Source organism: Homo sapiens, chromosome 22, assembly GCF_000001405.40.
Source record: "Homo sapiens chromosome 22, GRCh38.p14 Primary Assembly".
Taxonomy (NCBI): Eukaryota; Metazoa; Chordata; class Mammalia; order Primates; family Hominidae; genus Homo; species Homo sapiens.
This window is the reverse complement of record NC_000022.11, coordinates 35,606,691-35,624,270: the sequence shown is the minus strand read 5'-3', so window position 1 is coordinate 35,624,270 and position 17,580 is coordinate 35,606,691. Positions and strand designations below refer to the sequence as shown.

The window sequence follows — 17,580 nt, the reverse complement described above, 5'->3', positions numbered from 1 at the left end:
CCACTATTTAGCTGTGGAGTCTCCAGACCTACTCTGGCTCGGGAGGCTGCCCTGCTCGCAAATCATTCACTGCTCTGTTAAACTCCTTTACATTTAATTTGGCTGAAGTTTTTCTTTTATCACTATGTATCCACCACATTCAGTGCTCCCTTTTTCTTAATTTTATTTATTTATTTATTTATTTATTTATTTATTTATTTATTTAATTTATTTTTAGAGACAGGGTCTCACTCTGTCACCCAAGCTGGAGTGCAGTGGTGTGATCTCGGCTCGCTGCAACTTCTGCCTTCTGGGTTCAAGCGATTCTCCAGCCTCAGCCTCCTGAGTAGCTGAGACTACAGGAGTGCACCACCATGCCTGGCTAATTTTTGTATTTTTAGTAGAGACAGGGTTTCACCATGTTGGCCAGGCTGGCCTTGAACTCCTGACCTCAAGTGATCCTCCCTCCTCAGCCTCCCAAAGTGCTGGGATTACAGGCGTGAGCCACTGCGCCTGGCCAGTGCTCCCTTTTTCAGTCCTCATAGTGACATTTGAGGTAGGTTATTCTTTTCAAAATTTCCATTTTACAGATTTAAAAAAAAGCGCCCTTGGAAAGTTATGCCACTTTTCCTGGATCACAATATTAAAAGATCACAATTCATCTTCTAATAATTTGGCAAGCCATCCATGGTCTTCTAAGCAAGGCGCCATGAATATAACGAATATAGAGACAGAAAAAGACCCCTCCCCACTGGCTGGGTTGAGGGACTGGAGAGCCCAGATGGAAGGGCAGAGGTGCAGGCTTTTTTCCTTGTTGCCACTAGATGGCAGTAGGGCACCCGTTGTCAGCCCTGGGGCAAGGTCACCGACTGTCTTTGCCTTTGCCTCCAGCAAGCCAAAACCCTGGGCAGACTCAATCCAAAAATAAACAATCAAAGAGCATGTTGGCCTGGTCCTTTGCTAGGTACTGTAGAGCAGGTGAGAGAGTGAGGGGGAAGGACTCCAAATTAGACCAGTTCTTAGCCATGAAGCAGAGACTCTGAAGCCAGACTACCTGGGTCCCAATCTTGGGCTTGGTATTTCCTCGCTGTGTGACTCTGGGTAAGTTACTTAACTTCTCTGTGCCTCAGTTCTCTCAAGTGTAAAGTGACGCTTGTAAAAGTGTCTCCTGCAAAAGAAAGGGCTGCTGGGAGGAGGGGTGTCCCTGGTGTGCACTAAGTACAATATGAGTTTGTGGCTTTTATATTCCTGCCTCTGAGGCACTCACAGGGTAGAAATGGGGAGAAGCCAGTCCAGACAGGTGCACCCCAAAGCAAGAGAGATGAGAAGGCTGCACCCATGCTGGAGCCAGAGTGGGGAAGAGGGCACATCTGCTGGGAATGGGTAGAGCGGGGTGGGAGGAGTCCTGGCAGGGGAGCCGTTCCTATGCAATGGGCCTTGAAGGAAGGGGAGGATGGGTGGATGTGGGGTTAGGTGACTGTGGAGGCGGGGCTGGTCTCTGTCCAGGTGACAGGTGGATGGTGGAGCTGGAGGAGCCACTCGGAGCCTCCAAGGCTGGGGAGGGTGGAGGGGGGAGGCAGGTCGGTGTCCCAGGCCACACCTGTTGACTAAGGGATTAGGATGTTGTGTCCCTGCCAGCCCTCCTCCAATAAGCCCCTCTGGGCCTGCAGGGAGAGGAGGAGCCTTGCCATGTAAACTGTATTTTTAGTTCCCTGTGCCTCTCCCCGGCTGCTATAAGACACCTCTCCCCACCCCCAGCCCTGGCCGCTTGGCTGGAGGCTCTGCGAGGACAGCTGGGGAGAAGGGGAGCTGTGGTCAGTATGATGGATGCTGAGGGGCTGGAGAGGAGCAGCCCTGGTGGGTGGGTTCCTGGGAGTCTGGAGCAAGCTTGGGGGTTCTGCTGCCCCATCAAGGGCCTTGAGCAGGTCCTGCAACTCCCAGGCCTCAGCCCTGCTCTGAGCCCTGGCCTGGCGCTGGTCCAGGAGGGTAGACTCTGCCAGGGAGGCACAAGCTAAGCTGGGGGTGGGGTGGGAGGGCCTGCTGGCAGGAGGGAGGCACTGCCCAGACTGGCCTCCAAAGGCTGGTTCCCAGAAGGAGGAGGAAGAGAGTAGTGAAGATCGTGGGGAGTCCTGGCTTTGAGGAGCCAGAGTTCTCCTTCTTGCCACATCTTTGATCTCCCTTGGTGGTGTCTTAAGCCCAGATTTACCAAAGGGAATTGTCAGCTGTCCAAGGGCTAGCAAATTCCTAGGTCACCTAGATTGGATTTTCTGACCATAAAAACTGTGGGCCAGGTGCACAGCTGCCTGAGGGGCTCAAACCTGTGCAGGTGGGTGCTGGAATCCCCTTTGCTATAGCGTTCTCTTTGTGTGCATGTGACCAGAGGTGAGAGTGGCTGGAGACCGAAGATGGCAGAGCCCGTCTTTCTCCACCAGACTGAGGCCCCCGACTTGCCTTGCCTGGGGAGGGTGCTCAGTGGAAGTCCTGGGATGTTCAGTCTGGACAAGAAAAGTCTTGGGTGAGCCTGCTCCTTCTCTTGTGAGGCAGACTCAGCTGGGCCTCTATATCCCCAAGGAGCAGGCGGAGCTGCCGCAAGGAAGTGCACGTGACATGGAGGCATCTTTTGGTTCGACATAAAAAAGGATTTTTAAAGCTTTAGGTAGTGAGCTCACCACTCCCAGGAGTATTCAAGCAGATGCCAGATGATGATCTGTAGGGAAAACTATGTTTAGTGGGAAATTGGACAAAATACCGTTGAAGGCCTCTTTTAGTCACAAGATACTATGGCCCTATAATTCTAGATTTCTCTGCTTCTAGCTCTCTATAAGTCTGGAATCTAGAACCCAAGTTTCTCCGGTGCTGAAAAGTTGAAGACTTTGACACTCTAGAATTTTAATTCTGGGATCTCAAGATTCCAGAATTGGGAGCCTTGAGGATGATTCTACAAGTCTCAGTTTTGGATTCAAAGGATCCTGTGATATGAAAGGGAAAAAGAGGAGGTCTGACTTGGTGGGATCCAGTTTTGCCCCACTGGGTATCAGACTAATGTGCCCTGCATTCGTGCGTGTGTGTGCGTGTGTGTAGCATGAGCGTGTAAGGCTGTAGAAAGTTTTGCACACAAAGGCAGCCTGGCTTTCCTATCATGTGTCTGCAGCTTCTCTGCCCTGGCCATAATGAAGGCTGTCACAGGGATAATAATAGCCCCCAAACAGAGCTGGTGACTCCAGGTAGCCATAGCAACTGTGAGGTAACGCTGCTCTGTTGTAGAGATGTGTGAGTACAAACAGATGTCGGTGCCTTCCCATTAGCTTAAATGGTAAAACTTAAAAGGTCCATCAACTTCAAAGCTACAGGTTTCCATGAGCATGCCAGTTAATGGGGGCGCTTGCCAAGCGGGTGATAGCTTCATATTAAACATTTCAGCATCAGTAATGGGTTGATGAGATTTTAAATGCTCAGGCCATCCCCAGACAACTCAGGAGGCCAGAGACGGGAGAAGAGCTGGGATTCGGGTAGTAATCAGCCCTGCCCTGCCCCGCACCCTCAGGGGTGTTCTGACACTCTCGGGAGGGCACAGGCCAGAGAGCATTTGAAAACCGCACATTGCGTCTCAATCTCCAGGAGTCTCAGATCTGCCTCTTGGCCTTCCCCAGCGCACCAGGCAGGGGGCCCCAGGTCAGATGTGGCACAGCTCAATGCCATCTCCTTCTTTCTGCCCTCCTCTCTCACACCCTGGACTCACCTCCAGCGAGTGACCAGCAGTAAGGGTCAAACTGCTGAGAGTCTGAGACCGGGGCAGACCCTCTCAGAGTTGTCTTTCCTTCTGAGGCTGGGCCTGGCACAGACTGGGGCCTCAGTAATGGGCTTTCAAATGAATGAATGAACAAAGGAACAAACAGATGACTGACTGACTGAATGAATGAATGAGATCCCCTTTGGCATCCCCATGGCTTCTTTTTTTCTTTTTGAGATGGAGGCTCGCTCTGTTGCCAGGCTGGAGTACAGCGATCTCGGCTCACTGCAACCTCTGCCTCCCGGGTTCAAGTGATTCTCCTGCCTCAGCCTCCCAAGTAGCTGGGACTACAGGTTCGTGCCACCATGCCCAGCTAATTTTTGTATTTTTAGTAGAGACAGGGCTTGAACATGTTAGCCAGGATAGTCTCGATCTCTTGACCTTGTGATCCACCCACCTCAGCCTCCCAAATTGCTGGGATTACAGGCGTGAGCCACCACGCCCGGCCCCCCATGGCATTTTAGCTACTTATTTTGTTACTGCTTCTTCCACTGCTAAAGAGATGGGCCTTTGGAGGTCGGCTGGCCTAGCATTTGGGGTTGACTTCTGGAATGGTCACTAGGGAAGGGGCGCCAGAGGTGCAGCCGGTGCCTCTGACCCTTTTGGTCGCTAGGAGTCAGCCGACTCAGTACACAGGACTCACTGAATGGAGACACAAGGCTCCTCCAGGGAGTGGCGGCTCATGGCAATCCTAGAATGGTCACCAGCCAGGCTTTAGAGACCCACACAGAGGGCGTTCTGACCCAAAGTTGCACTGGGGAACTCCAAGTTTGGGGATTCTTTGAATTTAACTCTTTTTCTAGCTACATTTCCTATTATTTGTCCAATTCTTACCAAACATCTCTGTTCACATTCTGAAGCTGGGATCTGACTGGCAGAGCTAGTAGATGCTGACTATTCAGATGGAGCCCTGACATTGGCTTTCTCAGCTTGGCTGTGACTGGCAGCAGGTTTGCGGGAGAACTGTGTGTCCCAGAACATGACTGGCTACACCTGCACCTCAGCAAGATTGGGGCAGGGCAGTTATCTTCAAAAAGCTGTGTAGGTGGGGCAGTCATTACTGACAAATCCAGTGCAGACCCAGGATGGCCCAAACACTGGCTTATCCTTTCTGAATCTCATCTCCCACAGCTGTAAAGCGGGGTGGTGCTCGCTACCTCACAGAGGTGTTGTAAAGATTAGATGTAATCTTGCCAAGCAGCCACTTTGTAAACTGTATAGTCTTATGCAGATGGAAGGAAGGGCCTGTGCCTACCTTGATCATAGCACTAAACAAACTGTACTGTATTTTCATTCCTCTTAGTTATCTCCCTAAAAAGACTCTGAGTTCCTTGAACACAGGAAGGTGTTTTATTTGATTTTGTTATCCTCAGCATGTAGCAGTGTCTGACACACAGTAGGTGCTCTATCACTGTGAGAGGGATGGATGGATGGGTGGAGTTACAGATGGATAGAAGGATAGATGGAGGGATGGGTGGATGATGGATGGATAGATGGATGGAGGGGGGATGATGAATGGAGGGATAATGAGTGGATGAATGAGGGAATGGGTGGATGGATGGATGGAGGGATGGAGGAACAGATAGATAGATGGAGGGATGGGTGGGTGATGGATGGATAGATGGATGGAGGGAGGGATGATGAATGGAGGGATAATGAATGGATGAATGAGGGGATGGGTGGATGGATGAATGGAGGGATGATGGGTGGATGAATGAATTGAGGGATGGATGGATGAACACATGGATGGATGGATAGATGGATAGATGGAGGAACTGGTGGATTTTGGATGGATGGGTGGATGGATAGATGAATGAATGCCTGGATAGACAAAGAGATGATGGATAGATGAATAGATGAATTAAGGGATGTCGGATAGATGGAGGGATTGATAGATGTTGGATGGATGGGTGGTGGATGGATAGATGAGTGAATGCATGGATAGACAAAGAGATGATGGATGGATGAATTAAGGGATGACAGATGGATGGATGGATGAGTAACTGGATGGACAAGTGGATAAATGGATAGATGGTTGAATACCTGAATGGATTGAAGGAGGATGCATGGATGTAAGATAAGGCTAATCATCCTCCACTCTCTTTCTTTGCAAAACCATCCACCCATTTACTCAATAAACATTTATTCAGTTCAAACTTGGCACAAAGCACCATGTGAGGCCCAAGAGATACGTGGGTTAATAAAACAGAGCTCCTGCCCTCCTGAAAACTGCAAAGAAAGGGGCGTGGCTTCCTGAGTTCAAATCCCAACTCTGCCAGCGACTAGTTGTACATCAGTGATGTTTCCCTACTTTCTCTCAATTAAATAGGGATAATGTCAGTACCTATCACATTGGGAGGTCTTGCGGGGATTAAATGAGTTACCAAATGCCAAGTGTTTGGGACAGGGCCTGGCACCCAGCAAAGTCTCTTGTGAGTGCTGGCTGCTATTATCCTAATGGAGAAGATGGCATGAAAACCAGGAAATAGGATGCCCTTTGGGAAGCAATGCAACAGGAACTTACACAAAGAAAGGAAAGGAGGAAGCAATTAGTGGTGTCTCAAAGGAGTATGTCAAGAAAAACTTTTCAGAGGGAAACCTTTGAGCAGGGTCATGAAAACAGGAGTTCTCTAAGAGATTGTGGACTTGCCTGGGACCACCTGGCTATAAGCACAAAACCATCCGGTTCCTTTCTGTCACTTCTGGCTGGGTGAGGGGTCTCTGGCAAAGGGGCAGAAGGTGCGTGAGAGGTTGCGAATGGCCAGGACTGTCCTGGGGCCAGCCGGGGCACCTGGTGGCCAAGCTTAGAAACATGACAGGTCCTCTTGGGAGGGCTGACCGCAGGGAGCGTTGGGTTTCAGGCTGCTGGCGTCGGCTTCTGTGGTGCCCTTTCTGTCGGCTATGAGAGTCCAGACAGTGCCCAACCTCCTCCCCTTCTTTCCACACGCACAACCACCCCACCCCCTGTGGCCTGAGCTGTCCTGCCTCGCCACAATGGCACCTGCCCTAAAATAGCTTCCCATGTGAGGGCTAGAGAAAGGAAAAGATTAGACCCTCCCTGGATGAGAGAGAGAAAGTGAAGGAGGGCAGGGGAGGGGGACAGCGAGCCATTGAGCGATCTTTGTCAAGCATCCCAGAAGGTATAAAAACGCCCTTGGGACCAGGCAGCCTCAAACCCCAGCTGTTGGGGCCAGGACACCCAGTGAGCCCATACTTGCTCTTTTTGTCTTCTTCAGACTGCGCCATGGGGCTCAGCGACGGGGAATGGCAGTTGGTGCTGAACGTCTGGGGGAAGGTGGAGGCTGACATCCCAGGCCATGGGCAGGAAGTCCTCATCAGGTAAAAGGAAGAGATTCCATTGCCCCTGCCACCCACACCCTAAGATCAAGGGTGTTCAGCTGCAAGGTGGAAAGTTTGCACGTGGGGTAGGTCAGTTGGCTGCATTAGTTAAGGGTGTTAGAACGGTCACTTGCTTTTTCTTTGCTTTTAAGTGTCAGGGATTGGACTCAGGAGAGGGAAAGGAGCCATTTCAGGCTGATGTCAGCAGCTGGAGGAAGCATGAGAATCAAACCTAGGATGCTCAGAGTCCACCAGGAAGAATTTTAGAATTATAGACAGTCAGAGTTAACAAGGGTCCTGAGAGATTTTGTACAGCCACCTCTCTTACAGGATGAGGACAAAAAGGGACTGAGAAGGGGAGGACATTTCCAGAGTCACAGCTCATTAAATGCTCTTAAAGTGTCAAGGTTAAGACATGCTCTTCAAGGGGAGACAGATCTGGTTCTAGACTTGGCTCTGCCACTGAGCCACTGGGTGACCTTTGGGAAAGTACTCAACCTCTCGGAGCCTCAATTTCCTCTCCTGTACAGTGAGGGGATATCCTAATATCTATATCCTAGAGGAGATGTGAGAATTAAATAAAATAATGCATGCAAGAGGCCTGGCATGGTTCCTGGCATATACTGAGTCCTAGAAATGTTAGTAGCTATTACTGATGAAGCCCAGGCTAGGGACCTTTCAAAGCATTGCAATTAGAGAACAGAAGATAGAGGCTCATTAGTGACCTTCGATGTTGAGTATGTCTCTAGTTTGAGAGGTCTGAATGATGTGGTCTGCAAGTATATCCTGCCTTCTACCACAAGGGATTCCAGAATACACCAAAGAAAACAAAATTCTGAGGTTTGTAAATAGAGGGTGGCTGTGGTTTGTACATAGAAGCTCATCTCCTCGTTGCCTTCTATCCCAAAGGTGATACACTCTTCTCTTGGCCCCTTCCCTCACCATTCTGAGCTGGTTCCCTCAGAAGTCTAATAGGTTAAGAATCAACGTTTCTGCCAACGGGAGGAAGGAAGTGGGCGCCGGGGTTGCCACAAGTGAATGGATTGTCTTTGGCACTTTAATTTGCAGATTAATTTCTCCTTATTTGTGAGCCAGAGCCAATTTTCCTCTTCCACTCCGTCGTCCTTTGGGTCTCCCTTGGGCTTTACCCATTTCCAGCTTCCGTCTACCTCGGGAGCATGGCTGGTCCTGGAAGCTCCGTTATCTAAAATTTGAGCCGTTGGTGATCCGTGCTAGAAACACTTGAGGAAGAAGAGTTGAGTTTTCTGTTGACTGTAATGGCATCGTAGTGTGTTTATGTCTTTCTTCTCCTGTCCCTGTCATCTGGCTGCAACAGGCCCTGTTGGATTGCACAAAGTGCTCCCCCGACCAACACACACACACAAATTGACATCAACTCCTGGGCCACAGATATGCCATGTGACCTTGGACAAGTCTCTCCACCTCTGGGCCTTATTTCTCTGCTGGTTGAGCGAAGGGATTGTCTTCCATGGTCTCCGAGATCCCGTCCCACGCTCATGCCCTAGAATTCTCTGAGTCCTTGATGCACTTTTGCCTTTGGCGAGGAGGCAGGACAGTCAGGCGTGGAGGTAGGAGACCAGAGTTTGCAGAGCAGAGGTCTTTCCAAGGTGATTTGGGAGCTGCCAGACCTAAGGCAGTGACTTGTACGTCTTGAAAGAGACTCAGGGTGTTGCATCATCAGGGAGGATCACGGAGGTTTGCCGGGGGCCGGGAGCCAGGGATAAGACATAATGCCTAGGGTTGCTGGTCCCTGAAAGGTCCCAGAGGCCTGGTGCCCTGTCACGTCTTAGGTTGTGGGACATGCAGAGACTGTGCCAGCTGGTTCTGCCCTCTCAGTATTTGGGGTACAGGGAGGATGGCCTCCCTGGGGGCAGGGTGGAGGAGGCTCATGCCCAGGACTGCAAATGCCACCCGTGAGAGTTGGCATCTTGACTTTGTTCTAGATACTGACTCTGGATTTTCTAACTGACCTTGAAAGGTTATGTCTCCAATCTTCTGATTGTAAAAGAGGGCAAATTCCATGAAGCCCAGTCTGTAAAACACTGAGGCCTTCACTGCACGTACACAAACATAAAATTCTAGAACACAGAAGCTGGAAGGTCACTTGGAGATTCTGGCTCCAGGAGTGGGGCTTCGGAAGGGAGGGGGCTGCTGAGTGGGCTCCACACCCCTGTTTTTCCTTTCTTTACTCAAACCTTTTTTGTTTTATTTACTTTGGCTGTTTTGGGGAGCGGGGGGAACAAAGGATTTCAAGGTCATAAAATGTTTGAAAATCACCAGTGGTGGTCACTACTTCTCATTACAGGGAGGAACTGGGCCTGAGAGTCTCCACCGGTTAATGGCAGCCACAGGCAGGACCAAAAATTCCTGGGTGATGGTGATGATAATGATAATGATAATGATAATGGTAGAGATGATGAGGAGGAGAAAGACAGCAACCATTTATTCAGCACATACTGATTGCTGGGCTCTGTTTAAGTGTTTCACTCACTGAAGCCTGACAACAATCTTATGAGGTAGATATGATTATGATCACCACATTTAACAGAGAGGTTAAGTAACTTACGCCAAGTCACACAGCAAGTAAGAAAGGAGCTGGAATTCAAATTCAGGCAGCTTGGATCCAGAATCCTTGCTCCTTTTTTTTTTTTTTGAGATGGAGTCTTGCTGGGATTACAGGTGCATGCCACCATGCCTGGCTAATTTTTGTATTTTTAGTAGAGACTAGGTTTCGCCATGTTGGCCAGGCTGGTCTCGAACTCCTGACCTCAGGTGATCTGCCCGCCTTGGCCTCCCAAAGTGCTGGGATTACAAGCCAATGAGCCCGGCCCAGAATCCTTGCTCTTGACCACTATGCTATACTGCCCCATGACCTTGCCACACGCAAGACGGGCTGCCACCCACGCTCTGGTTCTTTTATTCTAGTAGAGCCAGAGGGGTGTTCATGGATCTGACAATGTGCTCCATGTTCCATGTGAGTGTCCAATTGGGCCTCAGTTCAGAGAACAGCAGGAAAATGGCCTCCCTTCTCTCTGACTTGGACTGAAGATCTGTCTGATGAACCAGGCCCACTGACAGCAGGGTTGAAGCTGGAAACACAGGCCAGCGGGGCTTTCTGAAATACTAGAGCAAACGCCCTCCGTCCATTTCCACAGGCTGAGGGGCTTTCATCTGTTCATTTTCCGGATCAGGCAAATCCAGGAGAATGGCCTTCTGTGGCTGCCTGGGGGGCTCCTAGCTGCAAGGCCTGGGCCCACAGGAGGCAGGCAGCTGTGTGGTGCCGGAATGATCTTGCGGGGAGACAAATTAGCCCGATTCTGCTCTGCTGTTTAAAGTAAATATGGGGTGGGGTGGGGTGGCTCAGGCCTATAATCCCAGCACTTTGGGAGGCAGGATCGGGGAATCGCTTGAGTCCAGGAGTTCGAGACCAGCCTGAGCCACATAGTGAGACCCCCCTTCTCTACAAAAAATAAACAAAATTAGCTGGGCGTGGTGGTGTGTGCCTGTAGTCCCAGCTACGCGGGAGGCTGAGGTAGGAGGATCACTTGGGCCCAGGAGATTGAGGCTCCAGTGAGCCAAGATCACACCACTGCACTCCAGCCTGGGCAACAGAGCAATACCGTGTCTCAAAAAAATATTAATAAAGTAAATATGAGCTCTCTCCCTGGCTGTCTGGTGTTGAGTGGAAAGAAAGGCATTGGCGGGTCTAGACCCTTTTGGTTTACATATGGATGAGCAATGATCCAGAGAGGCTAAGTGACTTCAACATCACAGAGCACATTGGCGCCAGAACTGGGACCGGAACTCAGCTTCCGTAACTGTCAGTCCCATGTTCTCTTCCCTAGATATCAGAGGGCAGGGGCAGGCCCCAAAATGTCTGAGACCCCCAGCTGCCTTGTGGCCCAAATTCTTGGCCCTGCTCTGCCTCAGACAGTCTGCTTTCAGCGTCCTGACCTCTGACCATCGCCTGTGCATGCCAGGTCTTGCATCTGTCAGGCGGGAGTTCAAGGATCATTGTCGCCAGATAATAATAGTCAGGAGCTCAGGGACCCTTGGATGAAAGGTGTCAGAGACAAGCCGTCAGTGACGCACGAGGATTTGGATAAGGTCCTGGAGCGAGGTGGCAATGTTGGGCACGGCGGCAGACCATGCCCAACATGGGGGAAGGGAGTGTATGTGGTTCAGGCTTGTGCGTGTCTCTGTGTGTGTGTGCAGGTGAGTATGGCGTGTGCTGGGATATATTTATGTGTACCTCTGTGTGAGTGTGCAGGCCCATATGTGAGTGTGCACACACATCTGTGAGAGCCTGCATGCATGTACACGTGTGAGGTGTTGATACATGTCCATGTAGGTATCAGTTTGCCTGTAAATATCTCTGTGTAACAATAACAAAGTCCGAATAGTCATCAAGAGTATAGACATGAAGCCAGACTGCCTGGGTTAAATCCCCAGCTAGTTAGTCTTTCGGTGCCTCTGTTTCTTCCTCTGCAAAATGGCGTCTACCCCATCAGGATTTTAAAATCAGTTAATATGGCTGGGCGCCTGTAATCCCAGCACTTTGGGAGGCTGAGGCAGGCGGATCACAAGGTCAGGAGATCGAGACCATCCTGCCTAACATGGAGAATTCTGAGAATTGCTCAAACCCAGGAGGTGGAGGTTGCGGTGAGCAGAGATTGCACCACTGCACTCCAGCCTGGGCAACAGAGCCAGATTCCATCTCAAAAAAGAAAAACAAAAAACAAAAAAACCATGAACTCATTTTCAGGTTGAGGAGCTCAGCATCCTGGTTGTGAAATACCCTCCTCATAAAACCCTGGGATGGAGACTACGGGGATCAGGTGCTTCCTTGTGACAACTTCTGGGCATGGTGGCTCAGGGCGCAAACTGGAGTGTGGCCACAATACATACTGTGTACTTTTACAAGGATGTCACAGAGCCTGGGTATCATAAAAGAGGAGCTTTTCAAGGAACTGAAACCATTAGACAGGAGAGAGAGCCCTGGGCAGACAGGGTTGCCCGTGCCAAACATTTCAGCTGTGGCACAAGGGAAAGGGTGGGAGTTATGAAACTGTTCCATTTTGGGTTTAGGTCTGGGCTCTGCCGCTAGCTAGCCAAGTGACCTTGGCCACTTATCTCTGTGGTCTTCCATGAGTAAAAGGCGGAAACTCACTCCTACCCAGAGGGCAGGTCTGACTCCCTTTAACCAGCACCCACCTGCTCACAGCAGGAAGGACTGAGGTCTAAAGCTGGAGGTGGGCAGGAAGGACTGAGGTCTAAAGCTGGAGGTGGGCAGGAAGGACCAAGGTCTAAAGTTGGAGGTGGGCAGGAAGGACCGAGGTCTAAAGCTGGAGGTGGCTGCTCAGAGTCCCAGCAGAGGCCTCTGGGGCACCTCACTGAGTGCCTGGCAGGAGTGGGTGCCTGTCTCAGGGCTGGGTTGAGTTGCTCCCACCAGGACCCTTCGTCATCTGCACAGTGAGGGGACTGGGAGGTTCAGAGAGTCACAGCTTGGGCTCAAAACAAGCAAGAGGTTTCTGAGTGTGAGGATTGCTCTGGAGTGGAATGGCCCTCACAGGTAGGAGTGAGCCTCCTGTAGCTAGAGGTATTTAAGCAGCTGAAGGACAATCCCTGGGCAGGAAGCTGCAGAGATGGTCGCAGCGTGGACTAGAACTGCTGTTTTGGTCACTCAGACCTCATTCCAGCCTGGCTTCTCTGGACAGCACCCCTGCAATAGTGAGCTGGTGACTTTACGCCTCAGAACCTCGGTTTCCACATCTGTAAAATGGGAATTATATGACACTCACTATGTGCCAGACACCCTGTTGGTACATAGCACACACTATCTCACTTAATCCTTCAAGTAGGGACAAGTTATCCCCATCCCTTATATGAGGAAGCTGAGGCACAGAGAGGTGAAGTGAATGGCCCAAGGTCACACAGCTGGGAAGACAGGGAGCTAAACTTGAACTCTAGTCTGGCTGCCCCCAGACCTCACACCGCACCTCCCATGCCGACTCCAGCCTTCCCTGTGCCCACAGGCTCTTTAAGGGTCACCCAGAGACTCTGGAGAAGTTTGACAAGTTCAAGCACCTGAAGTCAGAGGACGAGATGAAGGCGTCTGAGGACTTAAAGAAGCATGGTGCCACCGTGCTCACCGCCCTGGGTGGCATCCTTAAGAAGAAGGGGCATCATGAGGCAGAGATTAAGCCCCTGGCACAGTCGCATGCCACCAAGCACAAGATCCCCGTGAAGTACCTGGAGGTAGGAGCAGAGCCTGGGCAGGTGGGAGGATGCGGGGAAGGCCTCGGGTGGGGCAATGGGATCTGGGTTCGAGTCCAAGCTCAGCCACTAACTTGTGGGATGACCTATGCCACTCTTCTCTGTGCCCCAGGTTTCTCATTTGTAAAGGGGACTGCCACCCACTTTGCCTTCCTCCTGGGATTGTTGAGAATGAACACACTTAGCATTTTTAATTTAGTATGCCAAATTCACATCTTATTACCAAAGAGGAAAGGGAGAGGGGATATTGGGTGCAAAATTTGCATCCTCTCCATGGGTAGGTACCATTATCATATCCACTTGATAGATGGGGAAACTGAGGCTCACAGAGGTTAAGCAGCTTGTCCACGGTCACAGGAGGTGGATAATGGCAGAGCCAAGATTCAAACGCAGGTCTCTATTACTACAGAACCCCAGCCCCTAACTGCTGTGCCACTGGGAGTCTGGTACATGCAGGACTTATGTGGCAGGAGCTCAGCAAGTGGGGCTCAATTTGGGGTGGGGGTGACCAGCAGGTTGGCTCTATTGGTTCCAGCATCTTCACAGATGAAGAGACAGGACCTCGGTTTCCAGCACAAGCAATTGGTTTGGACCTCCTGAGATGGGTTGGAAAGTTGGGTGGATCAGGGTTGGGGGCAGGAGCCTGGGCTTCAGGTTGTGTGTCTATAACTGGTGGGAGGAGGCGATTTGGGGAGAGGAGGGAGCTGGGGATGAAGGACCACAGGGACAGGTGCATCCCCCGAGGGTAGAAACAGCAGGAAGTCTGGTGCAGCCATGAGGATTAGGATGTGGTGATAGCTACCCGCTGGGATGGGCCACAGTGAGCATTTGCTGCCATGCCTAGCACATGGCATCCATCCTCAAAGTTGCCTCATGGCCAAAATGACTGCAAGAGCTCCAGCCACCTCTTCTATATTCCCAACTGGAAGCAGGAGAAAGAGAGGAATGCTCTCTTTTGAGGAGTTTAAGGAGTCCCAGAAATCTCATCCAACAATTTTATTTACATCTCATTGGCCAGAAGTTAGTTACGGAGCCATCCTGTCTGCACGGGAAGCTGGGAAAGGTAGTCTATCACCCCTCCAAATACAACTAGTGTTCTGTTACCAAGGAAGAAAGGGAAATGGATATTGTGGACGTAATTAGCAGTCTCTGCCCCAGGCAAGTACCCTTCTCATCCCCATTTTGCTGGTTTGGAAACTGAGAGCTCAGAGGGTTTAAGTAGCTTGCCCAAGGTCACACAGCTGATAAGCCAGGAGGTACAGTCAGATCCATGGTACTCTGGAACCAGGCTCTGAATCCACTGTGGCACAATATCACCCATTGACAACCACCGCCACCCCTCTTTAACTTCGACCTTTGCACCCCACCCCACAATTGCGCAGAGTCCTGCCTGCCCAACTGCTCCACATCACCAGCGTGAACAGACAACCCTGCATGTGAGGCCGTCCCTGCCTGCCCATCTTCTCTCTGCAAATCCCTGTTCATCCACTAAGGCCCAGTGCGAAGCCATCTCCCCTGCTTGGAACCCCAGGCCCACGAGGCTTTCAGCGGTTCCATCTGCCAGCCCCTCCCTGCACCATGGCACTTTATCTTCATCTCCGGTCATGGCACTGCCAGGCTGTGTGATAATTTGTCTCTTTGCCCAGCGGTCTCCCAGCAGACACTCAGCTCCCTAGGGGCTACCATTTCTGTGCCCCACTGGCACGTGTTTGGCTCACCATACACTTCCAATGACTGAGTTCTCTCTCTAGAGAGGAAGAAGCCGAGTGTTGGATAGAAAAAACCATGCAGCCAAGATATCACAACCAGTTGGCCACTAGAACCCAGGTCTCCCTAAAACATGCTTAATCTGATGCATAACCTCTGCAAAAAATTGAGACAGAGCCCAGATGTCTGCTTTTCCCCCTCACGGTGGACCTTCGCTCTGCGCTGTTCATAAGACAGTCTCCACCTCACCTGTGGACAGATTGTCTCTCTGAGGGACTGAGGGGCTGTACAGGGTGGTGGGTGCCGAGAGTGTTTCCATTTCTCAATTATGCAGTGGCTCCGTTCCACTGTTTTCTAGATATGAGTGGCTCTGCCATGGACTCCAGAAAGTCTGAGCTGGGGGCCCAACCAGGCCATCTGGGTGGGTGAAGTCACACATGGAGTCGGGGCATAGGTGGCCCTGGAACTTGATTCTCTCAAGTTCTCTAAGGACAGGGCTTGCTCCATGACACCCTGAGCCCCCACTTTGTTTTGTGGCATTCATGAAATGGAAGGTGAAGTCAAGCATCCACCTTGATGCCCAAGAGTAGGCGTTTGTGGAGCTGCCCCTCTTTCCCAGCAGAGGGGCTTATGGGGTGTTGATGCTTCTTGAGGCCTCCCTTTGCATGTCCCACCCGCGACTATCCCTGCTTTATGTCACTTGCACCCTGGGGCCCTGAGAAAACGAGAAACCCAGCCTTGGTTCAGCCACTGCCTCCGTTCCCAGCTCTGGCAGTGGCCTGCCCACAGCCTCCTGGGCGCAAATCCATCTCTGCTCTCTGCTTCCTGCGTGACCTCGGTCTGGCCACTTGATTTTCTCCTCTGTAAAACGACACTCCTTGGTGCACCAGCCAGGGCTGTGGTTGGGATCAAATCTGGTTAACTTGAGAAAGCACAGCCGCATTTCACATCCATGAGTCTTTCCATCCCTAAAGCAGCACCATGCTACATCTCCGTTTTCCCATGCCCATCTCTGTTATCCGGGCAGTGAGACTGTGGGTACTAAAGCAAATGGCAATGCTGAGGCTGATAGCAGACATTCTCCATCCTGGGAGCCAGCCGCGGGCCTCATCCCTGTCTTCTTCCTCTCTCTCCTTCCCTCCCACCAGTGTTTCTGTGCTTGGTATAAAAAATAGGAGGCTGTGCCCCCAAAATAGGGTCTTTAAAACAATAACCATACCAAGTCATTAAGTATGCAAAAATTGCATACACACAAATAGAAATAGTTCCTTTCTAGACTTTCTGATTGCAAAATCCTGAATACAATAATGAAATCTGAGCATTTCCCTTCTTTTCTGCTGCCCCCAAGCGGGTGGTGCTCTGAGCTCTCACCTGGTTTCAGTGGGGTCTACATCCTGATGGAGTGGAGGGGGCTGTGAGTAAGAGCGTGGGCTCCGGAGCCGGCCCTCCTGGGTCCAAATGTCCCTTCCATTCAACCTCCCCTCGCCTCAGTTTCTGCATCTGTAAATCGAGGGCAGTTGTAGTATCTATCTCACAGTGGTTGTGGGGATCAAAGGGGTTCATCCGTGGAGATCACACAGACTCTCACCTGGTGCCTAGCAAGTGCTCAATACACGGTCCTGGAATAAAGAGAAGGTAGGAGGACAACTGACTCCCATCTGGCCCCTGGCTTGTCCCACCCTGGTGACCATTTTCTCTCCTCACCCTCCCTGCAGTTCATCTCGGAATGCATCATCCAGGTTCTGCAGAGCAAGCATCCCGGGGACTTTGGTGCTGATGCCCAGGGGGCCATGAACAAGGCCCTGGAGCTGTTCCGGAAGGACATGGCCTCCAACTACAAGGAGCTGGGCTTCCAGGGCTAGGCCCCTGCCGCTCCCACCCCCACCCATCTGGGCCCCGGGTTCAAGAGAGAGCGGGGTCTGATCTCGTGTAGCCATATAGAGTTTGCTTCTGAGTGTCTGCTTTGTTTAGTAGAGGTGGGCAGGAGGAGCTGAGGGGCTGGGGCTGGGGTGTTGAAGTTGGCTTTGCATGCCCAGCGATGCGCCTCCCTGTGGGATGTCATCACCCTGGGAACCGGGAGTGGCCCTTGGCTCACTGTGTTCTGCATGGTTTGGATCTGAATTAATTGTCCTTTCTTCTAAATCCCAACCGAACTTCTTCCAACCTCCAAACTGGCTGTAACCCCAAATCCAAGCCATTAACTACACCTGACAGTAGCAATTGTCTGATTAATCACTGGCCCCTTGAAGACAGCAGAATGTCCCTTTGCAATGAGGAGGAGATCTGGGCTGGGCGGGCCAGCTGGGGAAGCATTTGACTATCTGGAACTTGTGTGTGCCTCCTCAGGTATGGCAGTGACTCACCTGGTTTTAATAAAACAACCTGCAACATCTCAGTTTCTGCCTGGCATTTTTCATCTCCTAGAGTAAATGATGCCCCCACCAGCACCAGCATCAAGGAAGAAATGG

General features: G+C 51.1%; 1 protein-coding gene across 9 annotated transcripts, besides 3 other annotated features; it reads left to right on the top strand.

Annotated features, from left to right (window-relative positions):
* Positions 735-1,029: an enhancer, noted in NCBI's record as "tiled region #11360; K562 Activating non-DNase unmatched - State 13:Ctcf". NCBI's record gives its function as "activates a minimal TATA promoter and a strong SV40 promoter by Sharpr-MPRA in K562 cells {active_cell/tissue: K562}" and the evidence as "EXISTENCE:reporter gene assay evidence [ECO:0000049][PMID:27701403]".
* MB (myoglobin) lies at positions 917-17,507 on the top strand. 9 transcript variants are annotated; one of them, NM_001382809.1, is made up of 5 exons: positions 917-1,080; positions 3,947-4,062; positions 7,006-7,108; positions 13,165-13,387; positions 16,828-17,507. In NM_001382809.1, exons 3-5 carry the CDS (start codon positions 7,014-7,016, stop codon positions 16,972-16,974), a joined length of 465 nt encoding a protein of 154 aa, NP_001369738.1. In that variant the 5' UTR covers positions 917-1,080; positions 3,947-4,062; positions 7,006-7,013; the 3' UTR covers positions 16,975-17,507. The 9 variants fall into 9 exon arrangements, with proteins under 9 accessions (NP_001369738.1, NP_976311.1, NP_001369742.1 ...); NM_001382810.1 differs by lacking the exon at positions 917-1,080 and adding an exon at positions 1,742-1,793; NM_203377.1 differs by lacking the exon at positions 3,947-4,062.
* Positions 1,688-2,203: an enhancer, noted in NCBI's record as "H3K4me1 hESC enhancer chr22:36018115-36018630 (GRCh37/hg19 assembly coordinates)". NCBI's record gives its function as "activates a minimal SCP1, AML or CMV promoter by ChIP-STARR-seq in naive H9 embryonic stem cells {active_cell/tissue: H9 hESC(naive)}" and the evidence as "EXISTENCE:reporter gene assay evidence [ECO:0000049][PMID:30033119]".
* Positions 12,182-12,231: a silencer, noted in NCBI's record as "silent region_13659". NCBI's record gives its function as "represses an Ori minimal core promoter by ATAC-STARR-seq in GM12878 lymphoblastoid cells {active_cell/tissue: GM12878}" and the evidence as "EXISTENCE:reporter gene assay evidence [ECO:0000049][PMID:35858748]".